At 44.0% G+C, this 19,040-nt stretch overlaps 1 protein-coding gene across 4 annotated transcripts in view, besides 2 other annotated features; it reads left to right on the top strand.

The window, feature by feature from the left end:
- Positions 7,625–8,004: a silencer, noted in NCBI's record as "silent region_5158". NCBI's record gives its function as "represses an Ori minimal core promoter by ATAC-STARR-seq in GM12878 lymphoblastoid cells {active_cell/tissue: GM12878}" and the evidence as "EXISTENCE:reporter gene assay evidence [ECO:0000049][PMID:35858748]".
- XPO4 (exportin 4) overlaps positions 7,999–19,040 on the top strand; it is a 125,446-nt gene continuing 114,404 nt past the window's right edge. For 3 of the 4 annotated variants that reach the window (NM_001372061.1, XM_047430537.1, XM_047430541.1), the window contains exon 1: positions 7,999–8,103. In NM_001372061.1, coding sequence (NP_001358990.1) covers positions 8,035–8,103 — 69 coding nt within the window. In that variant the 5' untranslated portion in view covers positions 7,999–8,034. The remainder of the gene's footprint in view (positions 8,104–19,040) is intronic. The other variant, NM_022459.5, reaches the window with a different exon arrangement.
- Positions 8,215–8,264: an enhancer, noted in NCBI's record as "active region_7427". NCBI's record gives its function as "activates an Ori minimal core promoter by ATAC-STARR-seq in GM12878 lymphoblastoid cells {active_cell/tissue: GM12878}" and the evidence as "EXISTENCE:reporter gene assay evidence [ECO:0000049][PMID:35858748]".

The following is a 19,040-nucleotide window of genomic DNA, read 5'->3' as shown; positions in this document are numbered from 1 at the left end:
GTTCAAGCGATTCTCCTGCCTCAGCCTCTGGAGTAGCTGGGACTACAGGCCCGCGCCAACGTGCCCAGCTAACTTTTTTTGTATTTTTAGTAGAGATGAGTTTTCACCATGTTGGCCAGGCTGGTCTCAAACTCCTGACCTCAAGTGATCTGCCCATCTCGGCCTCCCAAAGTGCTGGGATTACAGGTGTGAGCCACCATGCCCGGCCAGGGACTGCCCAATAAAAAAAAAATAAAAAATAAAAAAAAAGCAAAAAAAAGGGGAAAAAATAGAAAAAAAAGTTACAGTGTGTTGTTTAATTTCCACATATGTACTAATTTTCCATTTTCCTTATGCCATTAATTTCTAGTTTTATTTCACCATGATTAGAAAAGAAATTGTGTGATTTCAAATCCCATTTCCACCGGGTGCGGTGGCTCGCGCCTGTAATCCCAGCACTTTGGGAGGCAGAGGCAGGCAGATCACGAGGTCAGAGATCAAGACCATCCTGGCTAACATGGTGAAACCCCATCTCTACTAAAAATACAAAAAATTAACTGGACATGGTGGCGGGTGCCTGTAGGCCCAGCTACTCAGGAGGCTCAGGCAGGAGAATGGCGTGAACCTGGGAGGTGGAGCTTGTAGTAAGCCGAGATCGCGCCACTGCACTCCAGCCTGGGCAACAGAACGAGACTCCGTCTCAAAAAAAAAAACAAAAAAATAACAAATCCCATTTCCACTATTTCTGAAGCAAGTTACTGAACTGTTGTACACCTAAAAGTTTTCATCTGAAATTTGGGATAAATAGTAGTATTCATCTCACAGGGTTGTTGTGAGGATTAAATAAGTTAATAGATGAAAATGTTCTTCATATGGTAGTTGTGGTGTAAACATTAACTACCATTATTGTAGTAGTCTCAAACTGATTAGACTATTTACTATTTGTATCAACTTCTTGCATATACCAACAATCCATATGTTGGTGTGTGATTCTCTAAAACAAATGAATGAGTGTCCTACAGTTCAATTCAATTCTGACACTATTCACTGTTACTGCATACCCCACAAATTAAAGAATCAGTCCCACAAGACTGTCTTCAGTTCAAATGCTAGTCACAAATCCTGGGGAACACTCATACTGCTGATCCACTGGTTATAATTTGGGGGTTTCATGATCTCCTGCTTACATTTGATAATTTGCTAGAACTCCAGAACTCAGGAAGCTTAAATTTACCAGTTTATTACAAAGAATGAACAGGCTGATGAAGTGGTACACACAGTGAGGTCCAGAAGGGTCCCAAGTGCAGAAGCCTCTATCCCCCGTATTGGGATGTGTCCCTGCACATACATGCATTCACCATCCCGGAAGCTCAGTGAATCTTGAATCTCATTGTTGCAGTTTTGAGAACTCAGTCACCAGCACCCCTGCTGCTCCCCAGAGGCCAATGGGGCAGAAAGTTCCAACCGTCTAATCACTTGTGCTTTCTGGCGACCAACCCATTCTGAGGCTATCTAGGGAACCCACCCTAAGTTACCTCATCAGCTCAGGTATGATTGAAAGTGGCTTGTTGAAACTAACAAAAAAGATTTCTACCACTCAGGAAATTCCAAGGGTTTTAGGTGTTCTGTGCCAGGAATAAGGAATCAGAGACAAAGACCAATTTTTTTTACAGTACAGTTGGAAAAAAGTGAGGGAAGTAACAGAAAATGAATTAACTGCTATTCTTTTAAATGCATTAGTCTCATCTTTTCAACTAGAACTCAAATTCTCAGGAAGCAAAGGCCATGACTTCAATTCCAGTGACTCTTATAGCATCAAACACTGTGCCAGGTAAGTACTCAATCAACTGCCACACTATCATAACAGTATTACCTTGCATTCATAGACATTACATTTTTACAAAGTTATCTCAAGTGTATTATCTACCTTGAATCTCACGCCCTTGTGATAATTTCCACTTTATACAGGGTCAAACTGAGGTCCTGAGACGTTATTTACTCAATAAACACTGTTCATAAGAAGCAGAGATGCAATACAAATCCAGTTCTTCTGATGTGAATTCCAGCCTTTGTCCACTTTACCACAAAAGATGTCTAACTGCAAGACAGGTGACTGTCTTGGTCATGGATTACTTAATTTCTCTGGGTCTTAATTTTTTCATCTGAAAAACAGAATCCTTAATGTATTTTCAGTTCCAACATCTTAAGACTGTATCAGCTCTATATCTCTTCTAGTTTTAAAGTATCACTATCTGTTATGCACAACTGTTGGCTTTTCCTTTGTACCAGTATGTCAGCAGTAACTATATTTTTGTTTTACAAAAGTTCCTGGAGAGCCACTAACTTAGGAAAAACAGATAATATAAAGTTGGTTATAAGGCAAATCCCACTGGTTTCCATTTTAAAAGACCCACAAAACCAAACAACCCTATGTTTCCAAGGAAAAATATATAATATACTCACTCAACAGATCACTTTTTGTGAAAAATAAGTAGGAATGATTTTGGAGCCCATAGCATCACAGTTGTAAAAGGAATACTCCAAAAGCAGGGGGATCTATTTGTAAGATGTTCTTGTTTCAGGAACATTTTAACCAGGCATCTACCTTTTTCTAAACTATAAACATTTCTTTCATGCCTAGTGAGAAATTATTTGAATTTGAACAACATTCTCCTCCTCTTCTATTTTAGGATCTAAAGAGCACATGGGCCAGGTGTGGTGGCTCATGCCTGTAATCTTCACTTTAGAAGGCCAAAGCAGGAGGATTGCTTGAGGCCAGGAGTTCAAGATCAGTGTTGGCAACATAGCGAGACCCCATCTTTATTTAAAAAAAAGAACATATGGGCTGGGCGCGGTGGCTCATGCCTGTAATCCCAGCACTTTGGGAGGCTGAGGCAGGCGGATCACCTGAGGTCAGGAGTTCAAGACCAGCCTGATCAATATGATGAAACCCGGTCTCTACTAAAAATACAAAAATTAGCCAGGCATGGTGGTGGGCGCCTGTAATCCCAGCTACTTGGGAGGCTGAGACAGGAGAATCGCTTGAACCCGGGAGACAGAGGTTGCAGTGAGCCAAGATCACACCATTTTACTCCAGCCTGGGCAACAAGAGCGAAACTCCATCTCAACAAACAAACAAACAAACAAACAAGCAAAAGAGCATATGGCCAGGGCGCGGTGGCTCACACCTGTAATCCCAGCACTTTGGGAGGGCGAAGTGGACAGATCACGAGGTCAGGAGATCAAGATCATCCTGGCCAACATGGTGAAACTCCATCTCTAGTAAAATACAAAAAATTAGCCAGGTGTGGTGGTGCGCGCCTGTAGTCCCAGCTACTCAGGAGGCGGAGGCAGGGGAATCGCTTGAACCCGGGTGGCGGAGGTTGCAGTGAGCCGAGACCACACCACTGCACTCCAGCCTGGGTGGCAGAGTGAGACTCCGTATCAAAAAATAAATAAATAAATAAACAAAAATTAGCCAAACGCGGTGGTATGCACCTGTAGTCCCAGCTACTTGGGAGACTGAGACAGGAGAATCACTTGACCCTGGGAGGCAGAGGTTGCAGTGAGCCAAGATTGCGCCACTGCACTCCAGCCTGGCAACAGAGGGAGATTCCGTCTCAAAAAAAAAAAAAAAAAAAAAAGCGTATGACAAGGCTGCAATTACCCTCTCCACCTCTGCCCCAGGAGAGTGTTGTTATTGAATAATAAATCAAGGAATAACAAGAGTCAGGCATTGGAGGAAAGTTAACTGATAGGCAAATTCTAGGGTGTTTTCCAACATTGAGATCCTACAATTTCAGCTCTGCCCTGAAATTCATGGCTTCATTATGTGAGATGTCTATACCTCACTTCATAAAGTCTCAAAATTCAAAATACTGTTAATTTGAAAGGAAGCAAATTAATCCTCACATTTGATAAAAATATATCCCTTCCCTTTTATTTTTATTTTCATTTATTTATTTATTTTTTGAGATGGAGTCTCTGTCGCCCAGGCTGGAGTACAGTGGTGCGATCTCGGTTCACTGCAACCTCTGCCTTCTGGGTTCAAGTGATTCTCCTGTCTCAGCCTCCCGAGTAGCTGGGACTACAGGCGCCCGCCACCACGCCTGGCTAATTTTTTAGTAGAGACGGGGTTTCACCGTGTTAGCCAGGATGGTCTTGAACTCCCAAACTCAGGTGATCCACCCGCCTCGGCCTCCCAAAGTGCTGGGATTACAGGCGTGAGCCACTGTGCCTGGCCTTTTTTTTTTTTTTTTGAGATGTAGTCTCACTCCGTCACCCAGGCTGGAGTGCAGTGGTGCAATCTCAGCTCACTACAACCTCCGCCTCCCGGGTTCAAGCGATTCTCCTGCCTCAGCCTCCTGAGTAGCTGGGATTACAGGCACGCACCACCATGCCTGGCTAAATTTTGTACTTAATAGAGATGGAGTTTTACCGCATTGGCCAGGCTGGTCTTGAACTCCTGACCTCAAGTGATCCACCTGCCTTGGCCTCCGGAAGTTCTGGGATTACAGGCACGAGCCACTGCACCTGGCCTATTTTTTGTTTGTTTGTGTTTAGAGGCAGGGTCTCACTTTGTGGTCCGGGCTGGAGTGTAGTGGCACAATCACAGCTCACTACAGCCTCTATCTCCCTGGCTCAAGTGATCCTCCCACCTCAGCCTCCTGAGTCACTGGGACCATAGGCATGCACCACCACACTTGGCAAATTTTTTAATTTTTATTGTTTTGTAGAGATGGGGTCTCGCTATGTTGCCCAGGCTGGTCTTGAACTCCTGGGCTCAAGCAATCCTCCTGCCTTAGCCTCACAAAGTGCTGGGATTACAGGCGAGAGCCACCGCATCCAACACTTCTTTCTTTTCTTTCTTTTTTTTTTTTTGAGATGGAGTCTCTCTCTGTTGCCCAGGCTGCAGTGCAGTGGCACAATCTCAGCTCACTGCAACCTCTGGCTCCCAGGTTCAAGCGATTCCCCTGCCTCAGCCTCCTGAGTAGCTGAGATTACAGTCCTGTGCCACCTCGCCTGGCTAATTTTTAGTGGAGACAGGGTTTCACCATGTTGGCCAGGCTGGTCTTGAATGCCTGCCCTCAAGTGATCTGCCTGCCTTGGCCTCCCAAAGTGTTGGGATTACAGGCATGAGCCACTGCGCCTGGCCTTCTCTTTTTTTTTGAGATGGAGTTTCACTCTTGTTGCCCAGGCTGGAGTGCAGTGGCGCGATCTTGGCTCTCCGCAACCTCCGCCTCCTGGGTTCAAGTGATTCTCCTGCCTCAGCTTCCCGAGTAGCTGGGATTACAGGCATGTGCCACCACACCTGGCTAATTTTGTATTTTTTTTTTTTTTTTTAGTAGACATGGGGTTTCTCCATGTTGGTCAAGCTGGTCTCAAACTCCTGATCTCAGGTGATCCGCCCACCTGGGCCTCCCAAAGTGCTGGGATTACACACGTAAGCCACTGCACCTGGCCCTCTTTCTTAAAACACGTGTAGTTGCAAAGTTCTAATGTAATTGCACAAAATAAATACTTTGGAACCCAAGGCCCAATCTGAAGCATTATAAGCCTCAAACATTTACTGTCACAAACTGTTTATCTACATATTTGCACAATATCATTGATCTTTGGTAATTACTCTTTGCAGCAACTAGAATCATTTTGTAATTTTCTTGTAGATTGCTATACTTGGTCAAATATTTACTGAGTGCCTACTATATGTCAGGCCCTATGATAAACACTTAGTTACTAAAAAGGACCATTAACTGCATTTTGGCTCACTTTAAACTTCAGTAATAAAATAAAACTTACTTAGTTTCTCAAGCAATACAAACCTTGTTAATTCATTTTCTCTACTTCAAGTTGCAGAGACTTCAAGTACAAGAAACAACATATTTTCCAACGGAGCTAATAATGCAGTTCCGTGTGGCCGGGCACAGTGGCTCATGCCTGTAATCCCAGCATTTTGGGAGGCTGAGGCAGCGGATCGCCTAAGGTCAGGAGTTCAAGACCAGCCTGGCTAACATGGTGAAACCCCGTCTCTGCTAAAAATACAAAAATTAGCCAGGTGTAGTGGTGCACACCTGTAATCCCAGCTACTCTGGAGGCTGAAGCACGAGAATCGTTTGAACCCAGGAGGCAGAGGTTGCAGTGAGCTGAGATGGCACCATGGCACTCCAGCCTGGGTGACAGAGAGAGACTCCATAACACACACACACACACACACACACACACACACACACACACACACACACACAGACATTCTGTTGCAGTGACATAAAACCTCAACAGTATGGCTTTCTTATAACTAGGAATAAGAAACAGGAAGATTTCAACAAAAAATAAACTTAAAAATACTGAAACGAATTTGACTGTCTGTGTTGTTTCAGAAGGCTGAATAAGCACCAAAAAGAAGTTATAGGAATGTAGACCGTAGATGTCAGCTCAAAACGAAACAAACCCCTGATCCGAACAACCTAACAGCACTGGTTTGAATACTGAAACAGCTGTCAGGACCACTTGCGTGGAATGTCCTAGAGGCAACTGGAGCACCGGAGGGAAGGTTAATTACTTGATACTCTAATATGCCTTTCAACACGGATTCCACAAACACGACAATGCTGATTTTTGTCCTTTTTTTTTTTTTTCCTGAGACAGGATCAGCCTCTCACCCAGGCTGGAGTGCCGTGGTGTGATCTCGCCCCACTGCACTCTCGACCTCCTGGGCAATCCTTCCGCTTCAGCCTCCCGAGAAGCTCGGACCACAGGCGCAAGACACCACACCGGGCTTTTTTTTTTTTTTTTTTTGGTAGAGACAGGGTCTCACGATGTTGCCCAGGCTGGTCTCGAACTCCTGAGCTAAAATGAGGCCTGCCTTGGCCTCCCAAAGTGCTGGGATTACAGGCATGAGCCACAGCGCCTGGCCGACAAAGCTCATCTTACTGCATTTGAGAAGCCAGGTAGTCAAGGTCAGGCTTTCCTGTCCCTGCTTTCTCCCTCTCCTATGTGAGCCAGCCCTTAAAGAGTGAAAACGGCAAGAGCCAAAGACGGGTTTTCCTCCTAGGGTCTCCTAGCGACCCGCTGCCCAGATACATTTGGATGATTGTCCTGCAGAAGGCCAAAGCCCTCCATTATGAAAACGAAGCGTTCGGCCGGGGGCGGTGGCTCACGCCTGTAATCCCAGAACTTTGGGAGACCGAGGCGGGCGGATCACCTGAGGTCAGGAGTTCGAGACCAGCCTGGCCAACATGGTGAAACTTCGTCTCTACTAAAAGTACAAAAATTAGCCGGGCGTGGTGGCGGGCGCCTGTAATCCCAGATACTCAGGAGGCTGAGGCAGGGGAATCGCTTGAACCCGGGAGACGGAGGTTGCAGTGAGCCGAAATAGGGCCATTGCACTCCATCCTGGGCGATAGAGTGAGACCCTGTCTCCAAAAAAAAAAAAAAAGAAAGAAAGAAAACGAAGCGTTCTATCCTGGAATGTTCTCCCATGGCAAGAAGGAACAGAGAAGCAGGAGACAGAGATACTTTGAAAGGAGGTGCGCTCTGAGGAGGGGAAAGCGGGAAGAGCGATTCCAAGTTTAGGAAATCCTGCACGGCGCTGGAGCGTGGAAGGGCAAGGAGGAGCCAGGGGAGGCGGTGTGCAGGGCTGAGAACGGAGGGAGCGAACTGGCGTCGTGGATCTGCGGGTCCCCGGGCGGGCTGTACTAGGGTAGTGGGGAGAGGGCCGGGGGCACCGCGAGGCCGGGGCGCCGGACACCACGCATGCGCGGGGCTGGGAGCTTAGCGGGGCGCGCGGCTGCAGCAGTCTGGGCAGACCGCCTCGGCCTCGCCCGGTGCCGGCTGCGGCCGCCCCCGCCCCAGCGCGGCGGCCGGGCTCACACTAGTCCCCTCCCAGCCACCCGGAACCCGGCAGCCCGGCCAGACCCGCCGAGGCCGCGACGCCGGTGTCGACAGCGGCTGCGACGGCCCTGGGAGCGCGTGAGGCTCCGGGGTCGCGGCGGCGATTGGCCGGCCGCGGCGCCCGCTCCCAGAATGCAGCGCATGGCGCGTCATTGAAGAGAGACCATGATGGCGGCGGCGCTGGGGCCCCCAGAAGTGATCGCTCAGCTGGAGAACGCGGCTAAAGTTCTGATGGTGAGGACGCCGCGCCCCTCAGACCCCGGGATTCGCGGGCCCCCGGTCGGCCCTGCCACTCCAGGCCTTGCTGCTCGCTGGGCTGGCGACTGGCAAGGGCCTGCAGGGAGCCTGGAAGTGGAGGAGGAGGTGGCGGTGGCGTGGCGCAGGATTCTTCAGCCTACTTTCCTCCTGCCGTCGTCCCCTCCTTCCAGGAGCTGTCCCCTTCCCCTGGCTGCCCAGCACCCCAGTCGGGCGTGGGAATATAGTGGTGTAGCAAAGAGAATTTCTTCACCTTACACCCTGCCCCACAGACTGGGTCGCAGAGCAAGGCGCCGGGAAGGAGTTGGGGTTATCCCCGCAGGGCTTCGGTAGGGGAAATTTGTAGGGCTGTGTGAGCGCTCTTGGGGAGTTGGTGTCGGGAGGGATTGGATGGCACAGCCTGGGTGCTGTTAGCAACCCTTGTTTCCTGTGCATTCGCATCCTCTAGCGCTTCCCTGACATGCAGCCACCTCTGGAGTAATTGCAGCCGGCAGCACGTGGAAGGGCCGGGCCGGCTGGAGGGAGGGAGGGGAATCGTTGAGACCAAGGTCATTGGGGCAAAACTTGGTCTAGTGCTAAGCTCCTTAAAGCTCCCGCGATTTGGAGAACTGAGTCTATGCTACTCTTTGACTTCATGCTTACACTACAATAAGCAGTTTGATGAGATTGTTTACTAAGGGAATTTGAGAAGGCCGAGTCAAAGGATAAAAGTATTACATGCAAGGAGGAGAAGTAAGGATAAACTACGTTCAGTTAGTAAACAGTGTTTCTATTTGCTGGCTCAGCTTTGTTTTTGCAAATTATGACTTCGGTGTTTGTAGATGTTTTGGGAAGTTAGAGGTTCATTTGATACCTGGATTGATTCAGACTTTCTAAGAATTGGATACAGCCAGCTTTGTTACCTTTTTGGACTTTTTTCCTTTTGGTTTGGTGTTAGGGTGTTTGAGCATCACATTTGAGAATATTCGAACTAATTCTAGCGTAGTTTGTAGTTCTAATATTTTACACCAGATATTTTTGTTTCTTTAGAAATCGAGAAGTCTAATAAAAGCAGGATTTACTTGCTTCATTATGAATATTAACTTAATGTACGTTTTGTCACAAAACAGACTAGTGAAGGTTTTCACACTTTTGCAAATTAAGCAGAAGTAACTAGCTAGTATTCCCCTTAATAAAAGATTCTTAAAAATCCCTGACATAGAGCGTTTTGTAAAATTCCTGAAATTTTCCTAGGAGCTAGGGGCTCCGTTTTCATTGGATTCTGGAAGGAGTATGCCACCCAAAACACGGCTGTAGTTCTTACACTGATCAGGTAAAATCAGTGTCCTTCGTCACTGGCTTAATATAAACTAGTATTTGTGTTTTCCAATATCTTCCCTCTTCCCTGGCAAAGCTGCTTTTATCCCCTATAAGGAGTAGGTGAGAAGAATAGTAGTAAGTACCGTTTATTGAGTGCTAGATATTGGGCTTGATGCTTTACATACTTTACATATTTTATTAATTCTTGCAACAGCTTTGCTTTACAAGGTTGAGAAACTGTAAGTGGCCCGGGTTACACGATTACTAAATGGCTGAATTAGGTCTTGAACTCAGTTCTGTCTGGCTCTAAAGCTGTGTGTCTTTCCACTCTACCCCATCTGTCATATGTTGTATAAATAATTTGTCTAAATGCTTTTTATCTTTTCAGAGGAGAGTAGTATTGAAAAAAGTGTCATGTTATTAAAAACAGGAAATTACAGCCGGGTGCGGTGGCTCATTCCTGTAATCCCAGCACTTTGGGAGGCCGAGGTGGGCGGATCACTAAAGATTAGGAGCCCAAGACCAGGCTGGCCAACACGGTGAAGCCCCATCTCTACTAAAAATATAAAAATTAGCCGGGCGTGATGGCTGGCACCTTTAATCTCAGCTACTCTGGAGGCGAAGACAGGAGAATCGCTTGAACCAGGAGGCAGAGGTTGGAGTGAGCCGAGATCGTGCTGCTGCACTCCAGTCTGGGCGACAGAGTGAGACTTCATCTCAAAAAAAAAAAAAGGAAATGACTTTTTGGAAATTTCCACTTAAGTATTCAGAAATTTGTACCAAAGATGTGTAGAGTAGTTATTGTATTATTTCTTAATATGAAAGCTATATTCCAAATTATTAATAGCTACCATTTATTGAGTACATACTATGTTGGAGGCGCTGTGCCAAGCCCTTTACATATATTACTTTTTATCTCCAGTAACTCTGTGAGGTAGGTATTATTACTTTCATCTTCTTTTTTTTTTGACCAAGTCTCACTCTGTTGCCCAGGCTGGAGTGCAGTGGCACGATCTTGGCTCACTGCCACCTCCGCCTCCCGGGTTCAAGCGATTCTCCTGCCTCAGCCTCCCGAGTAGCTGGGACTACAGGTATGTACCACCACACCCAGCTAATTTTGTATTTTTAATAGAGACAGGGTTTCACCATGTTGGCCAGGCTGGTCTCGAACTCCTGACCTCGTGATCCACCTGCCTCGGCCTCCCAAAGTGCTTGGATTACAGGCGTGAGCCACTGCACCTGGCGTGTTACTTTCGTTTTCATTTTACAGGCTAAGGAAACTCCAACATGTAGATGCTAAGTAATCTACACAAATTTACATAGCAAGGGGTAGAGACTCAAACTCTGGTTTGTCTGTTACCAGTCTGTGGTTCTTAAGCTGTAGGATACTGGGACCAGAAAGGAGGTAAATTAATTCATCTTTGGCTAATTAAGGTTGTTAATGCTCCGTCAATTATTAAGCATTAAGCTACATATTTTAAACAGAGTGATCTTAGCATTTATCCATCTGTGGGTCTGAATATATCTTATGGAAAATTGCTGTATTTTAACTGTTAATATGCTTTGAGATTCAAAATGCAAATAGTGATGTATTTCATAATTATTTTTGCTTAATTTTTCATTAGGTAACTCATATAGTTGTTTTATGGAAATCAGCATAGAATTTTAGAACATAGAAGAATCTTAGATCTTTTGGTACAGAAGTCTTAGGGAGTCTAGGATGAATATCAAAAGGAAATTGTAACAAATTTTTTGGTGTAAATGTACATTTTTAGTAATAGGGTCTAGAGCTTTTATCACCGTCTCTGAGAGACTAGAAACTGAAAAATAAGAATCAAGTCTAAGCATTCTCCCTTCTATGCTACAGATGGGGAAACTGAGGTTCAAAGAGGTAGAAGTGACTTGCCCAAGGTAGGTCACAGAGCAAATTCATGATATAACTGATCCAGGCTGAGATCACCAGACTCCCCTTTCAAAACCTTTACTCTTTTTTTTTTTTTTTTACTTTTTTTACTCAACCATGTTGGTTCTTAGTCAACATATACTATAAATGTTACATTTTATTACTTGATGGAAAATGTCTAAATATGGTACATCTATATTCAATCAATTTAGATTATTGGATAAGCTGCCAGATAAAGTAGTACAGTTGTCCCTCGGTGTCCATGAGAGGTTAGTTCCAGGAACCGCCTCCACCCATGGACATCAACCGTGCATTGATACTTAAGTCCCCCCGATCCCCTCCCTTTCTTTTGAGACAGGGTCTCTGTTGTCCCAGCTGGAGTGTAGTGGCATGATCATGGCTCACTGCAGCCTTGAATGGGTAATTTTTTAAAAATATTTTTTTGTAGAGAGGATCTCACTGTGTTGCCCAGGCTGGTCTTGAGCTCAAGTGATACTCTTGCCTTGGCCTCCTAAAGTGCTGGAATTATAGGCGTAAGCTACTGTGCCCAGGTGAGTTTCTTACATGATATGGTATGGTAATTGTGTATGACCTATGCACATCCTCTTGTATACTAAAATGTAGGAGGTGTTTTGATTTTAGAGACAACATTATTGAAAAGTTTAGTGTTCTTATAGTATTGATGCCACATTCATTTGCAGTCCAAAGAGCGCTTTATTTATTGTCTTGAATTTGCTTGGTTTTGTTGCCCTGTCTTCATTAGGTTGTTTTGGATTGTCCTTAGTGATTGTGTGTAGCAATAATATAAGATAGTGCAGAGCACACATATTAACTGATACATTATAGAAAAGTAATTTTCATAGGTTTTTTTTTTCCTTTTTCTTTTGAGACAGTCTTACTCTTGCCCAGGCTGGAGTGCAATGGCACAATCTCAGCTCACTGTAACCTCTGCCTCCCAGGTTCAAGTGATTGTCCTGCCTCAGCCTCCCAAGTAGTTGAGACTGCAGGTACCTGGCACCACGCCTGGGTAATTTTTGTATTTTTAGTAGAGATGAGGTTTCAACACGTTGGCCAGGCTAGTCTTGAACTCCTGACCTCAGGTTATCCTCCCACCTTGGTCTCCCAAAGTGCTGGGATTAACAGGCGTGAGCCACCGCACCCGGCCCATACATTTGTTTTTAAACCAGGATGGATTTAGTGAGTGTAAATCCAACTTTAATAAACGAGATTCATGACTGGTTTTCATAGATTTTATTATAGTGGAATCTGGTTAATATCTTCTAAAATACTTGCACATCTGTAGTCCTATAGAAAAATTTTTGTCTTCATTCTCATATCAGTCCTGTGAAGTAAATAGGATGAGATATTCCTAAACCTTATAAATGAGAAAACCTGGCCAGGCATGGTGGCTCACACCTGTAATCCTAGCACTTTGGGAGGCCAAAGTAGGTGGATCACCTGAGGTCAGGAGTTCGAGACCAGCCTGGCCAACATGGCGAAACCATGACTCTACTAAAAATACAAAAATTATCTGGGCGAGGTGGTGCATACCTATAACGTAATCCCAGCTACTTGGGAGGCTGAGGCAGGAGAATCACTTGACCCCAGGAGGCAGAGGTTGCAGAGATTGTGCCATTGCACTCCAGCCTGGGCTGTAGAGCGGGACTCTGTCTCAAAAAAATAGAATAAATAAATAAATAAATATGAAAACCTGATATTCAGAGATGGCAAATGATTTGCCTGTTGTCATGTAGCTAGTTTGGATCTGGAATCCAATTTCTGGCCATTGATTTGTTTTAGAACATTTCTTCAGTATATAGAAACACAGCATGTTAGACACTATGCTGTGTATGCTGAGGAGACAGAAGAAGCACCTTCTTTTCAAGGAGTGGAGAAAGGCAAAAATATTAGCAAATGTTGGTTGGTAAAGTTATAATAGAAGTAGGTACAAACATCTATCTCAGGCTGAGATAGGGACTGAGAAAGGGCTTCTTGGAATAGGTAACCCTTAAGCTGAATCATGAAAAATAGATTAGAGTTTTCTAGTTTGATAAGCAATATCCCAGGTGGAGATATATATTTTGGGGAATATAGTCTGAGAGAATATAGTTTGGGGAAATACAGTGAGTTTGAGGAATATTTGAGCATTTATGTAGTAGATATTTCCTGAGACCTTCAATGTGTAAGGTACACTGCCTTTATTTTTTTGTAACCACAGTACACGTCATAAAAATGAAAATTTTAATTAATTGAACCTACTTTTCTTATTTGAAAGATGCATTATAGTAAGTATGCATTTTTGTTTATTTCAGCCCTGTCTTGTAGTACCTGCGGTGGCACTAGATATTAGAAAACTGGCACAGCATTCTTTTTCTCAAAAAAGCTAATTAATAGGAAATTTATGTTTCAAATTCAGTTCAATTAAATGTGTATTTGCAGTTGGACTTGTGTCACACTAATTGGAACATAGCCAGTGATCCAGAGAAGAAATGCAAAAAGGCATTTGAAATCATCCATAGATGCCTAAAAGGCAGTTGTTAAAATTTAACAGCATTTTATGATTAAAACAATTGGATAAACTAGGAATTGAAGGGAATTCTCAATATGATAACAAATAGTTATCTGAAACCATGTATTAAATGATGATATCCTCAGAAGTAAAACGGGAGTCCTAATATAACTGTTATTTAATACCTTCTGGAGGGTCTAACTGATACAGTAATACAAAAAATGGGAATAAGTGCAGATATTGGAAAGAAAGGCCAAAAAATGATTATTTGCAGGTGATATGACATTTCGGAAAAAAAGTTTAAGCAAAATAACTAAGACTGTTGGAACCATTAGTTCTTTGGAAAGATGACCAGATGTAAGAAAAATAAATGGGTTGCAAGATTTCCTTTATATCAGCAGTGATCAGCTTAAAATTGGAAAAAAGATCCCATTCTGTTAGAAAGAAAAACTGTAGAAATAAATTATAGGGCACTGATAAGAAACATGCACCATTTTTGTGAAGAACATGATACAGCTTATTTGCAGAATATAAAAGAGCTGAATTAAATGAAGGCTATGCTCCTTGGTCTGAAAGGTCAATCCGGTTAAGGTGGCAATTTCTCCCTCATTCATCTCTAAATTGAATATAATGTCAATCAAAATCTCTCTTTCCTCCTCACCCTTTTCTGAGGTGGGAGAAAAATTAATTGATTAGAAAATATATCTGGAAGTCTGTGAAGGGTTTGGGGACTTGATGTAGCAACTATTACAATGTATTCAGAAGCTAAAGTAATTGAAACATAGCATTGGCATAGGAAAAGAATAGAAAGTTAGAATAGTCTAGAAACAGAACTAAGAATAAAATGTTATTTCACATTGTAAAGGTATAGGGAAGTATGCTACAAGTTTTCGATACAAGAGCCTTCAATATATAGCTGACCCCCAGCTATTTCACTTCTGGCCATTTATTCAGTTTATGGAAATACTTGCTTATACACAAAGAATGTTTACTGTAGTGTACTTTGCTGTAGTGAAGATTGAAACAACGTAAATGTCCAGTTACACCAAATTGATTTAATATACTGGTATTCTTTATAATGGAATTTTATGGAACTCTTAAAAAATATGGTATATCTAAAATGTGATAGCTTTTTTTTTAAATGGGAAGATCTGAATGAACATGGAAAGATACTCAAAATAAGACGAAAAATTGCAGAATAGAATATATGATCCCATTTCTGTTTTCTAGAAAAAGTTCTGTATATATTTGTATATGCATAGAAACGGAAATGGAAGGCTTATACTAAACTTCTTTTTTTTTTTTTGAGACAGAGTCTTGCTCTGTCACCCAGGCTGGAGTGCAATGGTGCGATCTCGGCTCACTGCAACTTCTGCCTCTCAGGTTCAAGTGATTCTCCTTCCTCAGCCTCCCGAGTAGCTAGGATTACAGGCATGCACCACCACACCCAGCTAATTTTTGTGTTTGTAGTAGGGACAGGGTTTCACCTTGTTGGCCAGGCTGGTTTTGAACTTCTGATCACAGGTGATCTGCCAGCTTCAGCCTCCCAAAGTGCTAGGATTACAGCTGTGAGCCACTGTGCCTGGCCTATACTAAACTTCTAAGAATGGCTGCATAGGGAATGAGATTGCACATGGGAGGAGTGCTTAATATAGTTTTAATATAGTTTGAATTTTTTACAATATAAAAATTTAGACCATAAATTAATACTCCGTTTTAGTAAATTTGAATGTTGCATGCATTTCTATTTTCTTTTCTTTGAGATGGAGTCTCACTCTGTTGCCTAGGCTGGAGTGCAGTGGCGCAATCTCGGCTCCCTGCCACCCCTGCCTCCCGGGTTCAAGCAATTATCCTGCTTCAGCCTCTAGAGTAGCTGGGACTACAGGTGCACGCCACCATGCCTGGCTAATTTTGGTGTTTTTAGTAGAGACAGTATTTTACCATGTTGACCAGGCTGTTCTCAAACTCCTGACCTCAGGTGATCCGCTCGCCTCGGCCTTCCAGAATGCTGGGATTACAGGCGTGAGATACCACACCCAGCCTGAATGTTGCATGTGTTTTAAAAAAATCTACCTTTTTTTTTTTTTTTCTTTGAGATGAAGTTTCACTCTTGTTGCCCAGGCTGGAGTGCAATGGCGCCATCTCGGCTCACTGCAACCTACACCTCCTGGGTTCAAGTGATTCTCCTGCCTTAGCCTCCCCAGTAGCTGGGATTTACAGGTGCCTGCCATGATGCCTGGCTAATTTTTTGTATTTTTAGTAGAGACGGGGTTTTACCATGTTGGCCAGGCTGGTCTTGAACTCCTGACCCTCAGGTGATCCACCTGCCTTGGCCTCCCAAAGTGCTGGGATTATAGACGTGAGCCACCACACCCGGCCAAAAAAAAAATCTACTTTTAAAATCTACTTCCTTGAATGTCCTGCAATTATTTTTATGTTGAAGAATGTTCAAAGCTGTATCATGGTTCAGACTAAGACTAGGTTTGTGGTTTTGCATTTATAGACTTATAAATGCAAATGCAGGGCATTCCATTTCCACAGATTTGTTTAATCACTGCTAAGTATAATATAACCTTGTGAATAAATAAAAGGAAAAATGTCTTTTGAGTGAGAAAGAGCTAATAGAAAACTAATAAACTTTATTCTGAAAAAGAGATAGGGATTCACTCTTTCTCTGTTTGTAATTATGGGAAAAATTAGGTCCATTGTAATTTGACAATATTTTAGAGAAGGGTTTTTCAGAGTTTAGAACATGCATAACCAATCTTAGGGTGATTATTAAAACTGCAGATTTCTGGCTGGACACCGTGGCTTACACCTGTAATCCCAGCACTTTGGGAGGCTGAGGCGGGCAGATCACCTGAGGTTGGGAGTTCGAGACCAGCCTGACCAACATGGAGAAACCCTGTCTCTACTAAAAATACAAAATTAGCTGGTGTGGTGGCGCATGCCTGTATTCCCAGCTACTCGGGAGGCTGAGGCAGGAGAATCACTTGAACCCGGGAGGCGGAGAATGCAGTGAGCCAAGATCATGCCATTGCACTCCAGCCTGGGCAACAAGAGCGAACTCTGTTTCAAAAACAAAACAAAACAAAAAACTGCAGTTTCCTTTGCCTTACCTACGGAGGTTCTAATTTAGGAGGCCATGTTTCTTTCTTTTTTTTTTTTTTTGAGACAGAGTCTCACCCTGTCAGCCAGGAGTGCAGTGGCGCAATGCACGTTTAGGCTCATTGCAACCTCCGCAACCTCCGCCTCCCAGGTTCAAGCAATTCTCCTGACTTGGCCTCCTGTGTTCCTGGGATTACAGGCACGTGCCACCATGCCCGGCTAATTTTTGTATTTTTAGTAGAGACGGGGTTTCACCATGTGAGGGAGTTTCACCATGTTGGCTAGACTGGTCTCGAACTCCTGACCTCGTGATCCTCCCACCTCGGCCTCCCAAAGTGCTGGGATTACAGGCATGAGCCACCGTGCTTGGCCATGGAGACCGTGTTTCATTCCATATCCTCATCTTTTTTGTCTTTCTTAGTGGGTCTGAAGGGTCAGTATAGTGAGTGGGTGGCCTCTGCCTTGTATCCGAGCCATAAGACTGTTTCTGTCCACTGTCTTTGTTGTCCAGCCAGGGCTACCTACATAATTTGCAGGGCCCAGTGAAAATGAAAATGTAAGGCCTCTTGTTCACAAAAAGCAGGGGAAAAGTGCCATTAAGTGTTGTGAAATATAAAGCATTTTTCTTTAAAAATGTTTGCACCTTGTGAGGCTTTGGATAAGTTACTGCCTTTCCAGCTTCTGTTGACTCTTTTCCAGTCGCTTTTTCTCTTCATCAGCCACACTAGCTTTTTTGCAACCCTTCCCACTTGTGTCCTGTGTCCTGTCACAGGGCCTCTCATATACTAGTCCTTCTGTCTGGAATGCTTTTCTTCCCTGTCACTTCATCCTTCAGTTCTCTCAGTAGTCAGTTTCTCAGGGAAGCCTTCCTTAGCCTGCCTGAAAGGTGAGATTCACCTGTCCTTTTATAACAGTGTAGTTCTTTTATTTTTTTTTTTTTATTTTTTACTTTTTGGAGTTACTCTAAAACCCAGCTGGAATGCAGTGGTGTGATCATGACTCACTGCAGCCTCAAACTCCTGGGCTGAAGCGATCCTCCCCCTTTAGCCTCCCGAGTAGGTGGGACCACAGGTGCACGCCACCACACCTGGCTATGTTACAATGTTTTTGTAGAGACGAAATCTTGCTGTATTGCCCAGGGTGGTCTCAAGTTATTGGTAGTTCTTTTATAACACCTTATTTATGTGATTGATTAATGAACGTTGGTCTCTCTTGCTGGACTCTAATGTATATTTGTTCAGGGACCCTGTTTGCTTTTCCTTGATTATGTGTGTCTAGTACAGGGCTTGGCACCTTGTTGCTCAGTAATATTTGTTGAATGAAAAAGGATGAATAAACGAGGAAGGGAGTAGTGTGAAATGAGACTAGGGAAATAGAGGCTGGGTTATCTTAAGGTTTTGTTTGCTATAATAATTAGCTTGAATTCACACAGTATAAAATTTGGCTGGGCATGGTGGCTCACACCTGTAATCCCAGCACTTTGGGAGGCTGAAGCGGGTGGATCACCTGAAGTCAGGAGTTTGAGACCAACCTGGCCAACATGGTGAAACCCCATGTCTACTAAAAATACAAAAAATTAGCCAGGCATGGTGGTGCATGTGTGTAATCCCAGCTACTCAGGAGGCTGAGACAGGAGAATCGCTTGAACCCAGGAGGTGAAGGTTGCAGTGAGCCAAGATCGTGCCACTGCACTTGCAGTGAGATTGCACCACTGTACTGCACTTGGAGTGAGCCGAGATCATGCCACTGCACTCCAGCCTAAAAGAGCAAAACTCCATCTCGAAAAAAAAAAACAAAACAAAACAAAAAAAAACTTGTCAGATTTGTGGTTTTGATGTTCGACTGGCAGCAGTGTGAAACATCCTGTCTGTAGCTCCACTTCCCTGGGTGGATAAGGCAGAATTGCTTGAGTCCAGAAGTTCAAGCCTGGGCAACATAGCAAGACCCTATCTTTTTTTTTTTTTTTGGAGATGGAGTCTTGCTCTGTCACCCAGGCTGGAGTGCTGTGGTGCGATGTCGGCTCACTGCAACCTTCACCTCCCGGGTTCAAGCAATTCTCCTGCCTCAGCCTCCCGAGTAGCTGGGACTACAGGCATA

The sequence above is a fragment of the Homo sapiens genome, chromosome 13, assembly GCF_000001405.40.
Source record: "Homo sapiens chromosome 13, GRCh38.p14 Primary Assembly".
NCBI classification, from domain to species: domain Eukaryota; kingdom Metazoa; phylum Chordata; class Mammalia; order Primates; family Hominidae; genus Homo; species Homo sapiens.
This window is presented reverse-complemented; position numbering and strand designations above follow the sequence as displayed.